The sequence below is a fragment of the Homo sapiens genome, chromosome 4 (assembly GCF_000001405.40).
Source record: "Homo sapiens chromosome 4, GRCh38.p14 Primary Assembly".
Lineage (NCBI taxonomy): Eukaryota > Metazoa > Chordata > Mammalia > Primates > Hominidae > Homo > Homo sapiens.
Window position 1 is genome coordinate 65,216,257 of NC_000004.12, and position 9,602 is coordinate 65,225,858.

A 9,602-nucleotide genomic window follows, 5' to 3' on the forward strand; every position below is an offset into this window, starting at 1 on the left:
ATGAAAAAAACACACAAACAAAGAAACATAACACCACTAAAATAACACAATAATTCCCAGTATCTGACTCCAAAGAAATGGCACTATATAAACTGCCTGACAAATGTTTAAATAATTGTTTTTAAAAGCTAAACAAACTTTTTTAAAAATGCAAATAGATGATTCAACAAAATTACAAAAACAAAAAAGGTCTAAAATTAGAAATTAACAGAGAGAATATATATATATATTTCCAGAATTTCTGGAACAAACAGAAATTCTGGAAATAAAAATAAATAGAATGAAGTGAAAATGTGAAATAGAGTGTTAAAGGCAGAAACCTGTTTCCAGTTTGTTAAAGAATATAAACTGGTACTTTCTATCACACTAGTACCTGATATGTCCAGGTGGAGTCTCCTGAAGGTAGCAATTTTAAGAAAGAGATTGTTGTTGACTTATAGGGCTATCTGCTGCTCATAAGAGATGAAGAGGGGCCCCTAGAAGGCGTAGTTTGCCATGCAGGTGTATGCTGTTATGTTTTTCCACAGCTTGGAGAATGTGGTAAGCTTGCAGACTGTTTGCCACTACTACAGTTGAATGGCCAACTACCAGAACACAAGGGAGATTCTTCTAGTTCTGATGGGAACTCAAGATGCCATAAGTTCCACTAACCCAAAGGTCATCGATGACACCAGGGTGAAGAAGCCCTCTAATGACCTAAAACGGTGCATGTACTACGAGATGTGTGCTACACACAGGCTAAAAGTGGAGAAGGTCTTCCAGGACATTGACCAAAAAATTGTTGCCACAAGGAGCTATTTCTCCTCTGTCCCATCAAATCCCAGCACCAGCCAGAAGGAACTTTAGATTGACGTTCCTTCTACTGCCAACAAGCCTATGCCCAATCATAAGCAGTCCAAGTGCCAGTCCAACCTTTTCACCTCTTGAAAATGGAGTGACCCAGACAAAGAGAAGAAAGGCCTGAAAAGTCACATGGACAGCATGGGGAGCAGCTGAGCCATCCCAGTTAAACAGGACTTGCCCTTCTTTGTCTTTGCACTGAGAGCCAGTACTTATCTCCAGCCTGCTGTAGCCTATGTCCATTATCCTCCCCCTGGCCAGGGCCGAGGGATGGTCAGACCAGCCTGCATTGTGCTGAAAGCCCACAATCATCCCAGCTTTCCAGGCCTTAATCAACTGGTGGTGGGAGTGAACTCTGGATTGGCTGATTGCTCCCAGACTGCCACTGTTTGTCCTGACTTCAATGCATCTCTGATAGACCTTTGACGCCTTGCAACAAAGAGTTTATAGGAGGGAGAACTGTAGAAATGGAGTGCTCCTCAAGAAAGCTGGGCAACTCACAAAATACCCCTTAATTTCTATAACAGGCAATTCACTCCACAAAGGAAGGAAATCAATGAGAGTTTACACTTTTTCTTTGAGGAAACTTTCTTTAAAGAAAAAAATCATTTACAGGAGCTTTGCATATTTTGGGTACAAGCAATGGTAGAAACATAAGACATTAAAAAGCAAAAGAAAGAATCTCTGAACTAAATGATAGTTTATTGAAATACATACAGCCAGAGGAAAAAAAATTAAAAAGGAATAAAGAAAGCTCATGGAATTTGTGGGACAGCATCGAAAGAACAAATATTCAACTTACAGGAATTCAAAAAGAAGAAAAGCACAAAAGTGCATAAAGCTTATTTTAAAAAATCATAGCAGAAAACTTTCCAAATCTGGGGAAGGGTATAAAAATCCAGTTACAGCAAGATAAAAGTTTCCAAACAGATTCAATTCAAAGACTACACTAAGGCATATTGTCAAAAACCAAAGACAAGGAGAGGATCCTGTAAGCAGCAAGAGAAAAGATGCAAATCACTTATGAAAGAGTTGTAATAATGCTAACAGCAGATTTCTCAGAAGAAATTTTGCATGTTAAGAGAGAGTGGAATGATATATTCAAGGTGCTGCAGTTAAACTGTCAATCAAGAGTATTTCATCCAGGAAAACTATTCTTCAGAAATAAGGAGGGATAAAGATGTCCCCAGACAAACAAAATCTGAGGGAAAATATCACCAACAGACATGTCTTTTAAGAAATACTAAAGAGTCTGGCATGGTGACTCGTGCCTGTAATCTCAGCACTTTGGGAGGTCAAGGCAGGCAGATAACTTGAGGTCAGGAGTTCAAGACCAGCCTGGCCAAATTAGCAAAACCCTGTCTCTACTGAAAATGCAAAAATTAGCCAGGTGTAGTGGCACACACCTGTAATTCCAGCTACTCAGGAGGCTGAGGCATGATAATGGCTTGAACCTAGGAGGCAGAGTTTGCAGTGAGCCAAGATTGTGCCATTGCACTCCAACCCTGGTGACAGAGCAAGAGTCCGCCAAAAAAAAAAAAAAGGAAGGAAGGAAGGAAGGAAAGGAAGGAAGGAAGGAAAGGAAGGAAGGAAAGGAAGGAAGGAAAGGAAAGAAGGAAAGAAAGGAAGGAACGAAGGAAAGGAAGGAAGGAAAGGAAGGAAGGAAAGAAAGGAAGGAACGAAGGAAAGGAAGGAATGGAAGGAAGGAAGGGAAGGAAGGAAGGGAGGGTGGGAAGGAAGAAAGAAAAAGAAAGAAAAGAAAAACTAGAGGGAGTTATTTAGTTATTTCAGCTGAAAGAAAAGCATGGTAATTAGTAAAATGAAAACATATAAAAGCAAACTCTTACTAATAAAAATGAGTACACAAATTCAAAATAATCTAACTCTCATGGTGGTGCATAAACCATTTCTGTCTGAAGCATGAAGGTTAAGAGATAAAACAATTAAAAAATGACTGCAATGATACATTAAGAAATGTAAAATTTAAAATGTAATTTGTGACATAAATCATAAAATGTGGAGTGATGGAGTAAAAATGTACAGTTTTTTAAATGTAATCAAAGTTAGTTAATTTATCATCAGCTTAACTAACCTGTTGCAACTATAAGATATTTTATGTAATTCTTACAGTAAGAAAAGGCAAAAACATATAGTAGATATATAAAACACAACAAGTAAGGAATCAAAGCATACCACTATAGAAAATCACCTAAATACAAAAGAAGATAGGATGATAGGACAAGAGGAAGAAAGGAATAAAGAATCTACAAAACAACTGAAAAAGAATGAACAAAATGACAGTAGTAAGTCCTTACCTATCAGTGATTACCTCGAATGTAAATGAATTAAATTATCCAATAAAAAGACATGGAGTAAAAGAATGGACATTAGACAAAAGAGGTCAATCTATATGCTGGCTACAAAAGACTCATATCACCTTTAAGGACAAACACAGATTGAATATGAAAAGTTGTAAAGAATATTCCATACAACTAGAAACCAAAAGATGCGGAGGTAGTTATATTTATATCAGACAAAATAGACTTTAAGTAAAAAATTTTAAAAATAGAAAAGGTTATTACATATTGGCAAAGGAATCAATTCATCCAGAAGACATAAAATTATAAATATGTATGTACTCAACACCAAAGCACTTAACTGTATAAAGCAAATATTAACAAATTGGGGCAATACAGTAATACTAGGAGACTTCAAAACAAGATTGTTAACAATGGCCAGATCATCCATACAGAAAATCAGTAAAGAAATATTGGATTTGAACTACATTTTAGATCAAATGGACCTAACAGACACATAAAGAACATTCCATCCAACAACTGTAGAGTACACATTGTTCTCAAGTGCACAAGGAACATTTTCCAGGATAGATCAGATGTCATGCCACCAAATAGGTCTTAACAAATTTGAAAAGACTGAAATTATATCAAGTATCCTTCTTAACCACAATCATATTTAACTACAAATAAATAATAGAAATATTTTTGTAACATTCATGAATATGTGGAAATTAGATGCCATGCTCCTAAACAACCAGAGTCAAAAAATCAAAAGCAAAATTTAAAAAAAGAAAAAGTTGAAAAAAACAAAAAGGGAAAAAACACACAAAAACTCATGAGATATAGAAAAAGCAGTCCTAAGAGGTGCTTTATAGCAATAGACACCTACATCAAAAAATAAGGACAATTCAGAATAACCTAATATTACCTCAAGAAACTAGGAAAAGAAACTAAGTCAAAAGTTAAGGAAGAAAATAAAGATCAGAGCAGAAATAAATGGAACAGAGACTAGAAAAATGATAGAAAATATCAACAAAACTAATATTCAGTTTTCTGGAAATGAAAAAAATTGACAAAACTTTAGCTAGACTAAGAAAAAATGAGAGAGGGTGTGGATGAATAGAGTTCAAAATAAAAGAGGAGACATTTCTTTGATACCATAGAAATACAAATGATCATAAAAGACTACTATGAACAATTATATGCCCATAAATTGGATAACCTGGAAGAGATGAATAAAGCCTCAGATGCATACAATCTAATACACAAAATCTACTAAGACTGAATCATGAAGAAATTTAAATTCCCAACAGAACAATGAATAAGGAGATTGAATCAGTAATTAAAAAGTTTCCCATCAAAGAAAGCCCAAGACCTAACAGGGTCACTGAATTCTACTGAACATTTAAAGAAGAAGGAAAAAAAAGCAATCTTTCTTAAACACTTCCAAAAAATTGAATTGAAAGGAACACTTCCAAATTTATTTATTACAATGACACTAAAGCCAGACAAAGACACTACAAGAGAAAAAGATTACAGGCCAATATCCCTGATGAACACACATATATGCAAAAAAAAAAAAACAACAAAATTTCCATTTCAAATAAGGACCAAATATAAGATAGAAACAAACATCAAAAAATAAGACTCAAAATAAACTTTAATTTTCAATATTTCACGTTTGTTTTTAAATTAGCTATACATTTATGATCACAAAGTTGCTAACTGGTCCATCTTACTTACAGTCTGGAAGCAAAAATTGACATAGTGTTACAATTAAAAGCTGTAGTAAGGACAACCTTTAGAGAATAAAATTGACTGATCACATATTTTTTTCCTGCTCTAAATAGTTCCATCATATAGACACAGCATTGGCACATCTTTCCTATTAGCTCATATTCTCAAGAGTGTATGAAAATAATGCCAATTATCAGTTTATATTATTTTTATTTGGTAAGAATGAATATTGTAATTTATAGAAAATGCAATGTATTAACATTTAATTATATAGTAATATGTTAAATAATTTATAACTAGAAAAAATATTTTTCCTTTATTAACATCAGAACAATGTTTCAACCAAATTCCTTTTAAGAAGCATAGGGCTTAGATTAAAACTGACTTTAATGAAATCAGATTAATGGCATCTAAGAATGAAATTCAGACTTAGTGTGCTCATTACTTGTGTTGTAGTCAATCGTTATACCCTATTTTTTTATTTTTCTATAGTAATTAATTAACACCAAAGAGTATTTTTTCAATTTTTAATGTTGATTGTCTCTGCAACGTTTTTTTTTCTGTCTTTGAGATGAAGTTTCGCTCTTGTCACCCAGGCTGGAGTGCAATGGTGAGATCTCAACTCACTGCAACCTCCACCTCCCGGGTTCCAGTGATTCTCCTGCCTCAGCCTCCCAAGTAGCTTGGACTATAGGTGCCCGCCACCATGTCTGGCTGATTTTTGTATTTTTAGTTCAGACGAGGTTTCACCATGTTGGCCAGGCTGGTCTCAAACTCCTGACCTTAGGTGATCCGCCCACCTCGGCCCCCGAAGTGCTGGGTCTGTTACATATTCTAATAAGTAAGTCATTGTCAAGTATATTTATTTCAATGATCCATTTTTTTAAAAATTCATATAAAGAAATTGGACTGAAATTTGTGAAGTGTTAAACTACCAAAGCTCCAAAACACCTTGGCAGTGTTGCACTCATTAACGAGTTTGGCATAAAAATTCTCCAGATGAGATGTCAAACTAAGGTATTTTCTGTAAGTCAAAATTTTTACTTGTGCTCTTTCCAGATGGCCTTATCTAAGCCATTATTTTTCAGTTTTCCATGGAACTAATGCTGAACTACACATTTGCTTAGAAATTACTTTGTTAGAATCATTAATATAAGAGAAAAAGACAAATTTAATCTTGAAAGAGCTGAATTTGAGGTGTGTTGCAGACATCCAAGAGGTACTCCCAGCGAGTTAGGCAAATATGTAGGTATGTTGTCCGGAGGCTAGGTCTTGATTGACACAATCTGGAAGTCATCTGCATATAGATAATAATTAAAGCTGTGAGTAAAGATGAGACTTCCTAGTGTAAGCATAGGGAAAAAAAGGTTTCAGATTCACTTGAGGAACACAAACATTTGGTAGAAAGAGAGGAACTGGCAAAAGTGACTGACATATGTGATCTGAGAAGTAGGAGGAATCCAAGGGAAGAAAGTGTTACAGAAAGAGATAAATTGGTAAATGTAGTAAGTGTTGCTTGGAGTTGGAATATAATGAGGCATGAATAACATCTTTAGAATTTAATGGTACAGAAATCATAGTTAGCTTAGTGATTCTGAAATATTAGAAAAATGGAGATGAAACTGCACAAAATTATTTGAGTATATTAACATAAATTTTATCTTCAGAGAATTAATGAATTTACTATATAATGTGAAGTGTAATGTAAAGTGGGAAAATGTTCCATCTCATCAGGCAGAAATTGATTCTTTTACCTAATAGGTTAACTATTTAAAATTGACAATTCTCAAGTATTTGAGGCACATAATTTTATATTGTGAGGAACAGCATACCATGATGATTAGAACCTTGACCCCAAAGATTTTTGTTGTTGTTGTTGTTGTTGTTGTTGTTTTGAGACAGAGTTTCGCTCTTGTTGCCCAGGCTGGAGTGCAATGGCGTGATTTCCACTCACTGCAACCTCCGCCTCCCAGGTTGAAGCGATTCTCCTGCCTCAGCATCCCGAGTAGCTGGGACTACGGGTACCTGCCACCACACCCTGCTAATTTTCTGTATTTTTAGTAGAGACGGTATTTCACCAGGTTGGCCAGGCTGGTCTTGAACTCCTGACCTCAGGTGATCTGCTCGCCTCGGCCTCCCAAACTGCTGGGATTACATGTGTGAGCCATTGCGCCCGGCAGCCCCGAACTTACAACACATTGAGTCCAAGCTAAACTTCCTCAAAGTATGCATCTTTCGTGAGTCTCAATATCTTCTTGAGTAATTTAGGTTTAGTAGAATAACTAACTTATTTCTCAGAACTGTTTTAAGGATTCAAAAATGAAAAAATTAGGATATGTACAGGATAATGTTCTTTATCTACAACGTCATAGGCAAATAAATTATATAAGAGACAGACTGTCTGGTTGTATGTAATAATGATCTGATATCATTATCTCCACTTCTGGTCTTGCTACCCAGTATTCAATCCTCTAAACTCTGCCTTGAAAATGTGTTATTTACATCTCCACAAAAAGATAAACGTATTGTACATTACATGTTCATACATACCTAGAACCTTCCATTTAAGTACTGTCATGTCTTATTGTGGTCACGCAATAAATATTTCTTCCACTGGCTTTTAGAAATTGTAATTACTTGAAGTAAATAGTTACAAAGCAAATGAGTCAGTATTGACAGTTGCATCCTTTAAACCATGTTGAATCAGTGTAATCTGTACATTAATCTGAAGTCAAAATGCTGACAGTTATTAAATACACTTATTTGATCTAGCTCTTTGTAAAACACAATTGTATTTTCTTTTCTTTCCTAGCTGCTTTGTTTTCTCCTGCTGCCTCTACCTTGGGTAAGTTAAGGATGGTCATGTTTCACTCAGTGCTAAAGGATATACAGACTTAGCTTAATAAATACCAAGTTGAAGCCTGACAGAAATCAGCTGTGCTCCTCTCCAGTTTGATGGCCCCTTTCCAGGTAGGTTTAATGTGCACATAAAATGTCAACTCTCTGAAATAATTTGTAGAAGATTAGTTCCATCGTGATTCAATTTGATAAGAATGGGTATTAAGAACTACCTCAGTGGACTTATTTGCACTAGTCTGGCTTATTGGTCATTTCCATAAAGATCTCTGAAGTGTGGATGATAAACTAGCAGGAGGAAGAGCTCTTGAATCAGCAGCCCCCAGCCCTCTCAACCTGCCAGCCTTGTGGTTGCTGAATGTTTTCCATTTCCCTAATGTATTTATCTGTTACACTTATGACCCCGGATTTAAATAGAGGGCTCTCACTGCTGGTCTTTGGCCTCCAGTTACAGCACCTGACTTCTAGTTGTCTTCATCATATTTTATTTGTTTTAAAATAAGAGAGCTACACTGTTATTTATCATTTTAAAAGTGATACGCTGGAGGAAAATATATTAAAATAGGAAACATTTTTGCCCCTGAATGATGGGATTATAGGTAATGTTTCTGTTTTGTTTTTGTTATTTTCTCTACTTTCAAATTCTTTAAATAACAGAAAAAAATTTCACATGAAATATATTTAAAATGAACAATGAAGACTAATGCACCAGCCCCACAGATCATTAAAAATACCCCAAAATATTAAAACAAGAGTCCGTGTCAAACCTGGAAAAGATCCATTATCATTTCAGTTGAGATTATGAGTGTCATCAAACTATAACACTTAACATATGAGAAAAATGTTAAGCAACTATACACATGGAGAATATTTCATAGTTCACAATGAGGTAGCTTCAACTCAAAATACCCAAGGATTGAAAGTTATATTTTTCAAATAACACTTAATGATTATTTTGTGGACTGGAGCATTTCTGTAAAGCATTTGTTTTCACCATCTAATATCTTTAGAACACAACTCACATTCATTTATTTTACCCTCTTTTTTACCTCCCTGTTTTATGTTCTCTTTGAACTTAAAGGGACTAGTTCATATTCTCTAAAATTTTCCTTTTTTTCCTCCACATTGCCCTCTTCAAATGTTTTTCTACTTAAATCTTAGGATATACATTGAAACAGATTTTACAAACTCAGATAACTAAACTACAAAATTAGATGTTTAATATATTAGTATTCAGTACTTGGGTGACAAGACTGAATTAAGTTAGAAAAAAATGGGTTAGAAAAGTTAAACATAAGACAGGATTGCCATTTATACACATCTGATGGAAATGAGTATGGTGACAATGATCTTAGATGAAAATATTATATAACTGTATACTCATGGAACTGAAAGCTGCATAAAGAAGAAATTTTAAATCCATGTTTACTTATCTTCCTAAGTATAAATGATAGACTAGTACCAAAGTATGTTAGAGTTTCTCCACTAGATTTCTGATAAGATACATGAGAAGTAGAATCCCTTCCAAGTGGTACTTACCTTATAGTGTGACTATTTTCCCTAACCCACTGACCACCCTTACTATTACAGGGAAAACACACAGTTGTTTCCTGCTTTGCACTATCGACTCCTGGGCACTGCTGCTCCTGCTGCAATGCCGGCTTCCTCATAGTACCACAACACTTCAACTAGCCCTACTTATGCCTTTTCATGGTACTCCATTCTTCAATGTGCTGAAGTTACGTTTGGTTCATTGAGGGCAAAAGCTAATGCTTATTTATTTTTTATACTATGTTTCATAAAGCTTATTTTTACCCCCACCCCAATTTTAGTAAATTTTTGGTTAAAAAGCACTATTGTAGATTTAACTTA

At 35.0% G+C, this 9,602-nt stretch overlaps 1 pseudogene; it reads left to right on the forward strand.

Annotated features, from left to right (window-relative positions):
• Positions 1-377: 377 nt before the first annotated feature.
• Positions 378-1,138, forward strand: LOC112268475 (arf-GAP with GTPase, ANK repeat and PH domain-containing protein 1-like; annotated as a pseudogene).
• Positions 1,139-9,602: the final 8,464 nt, after the last annotated feature.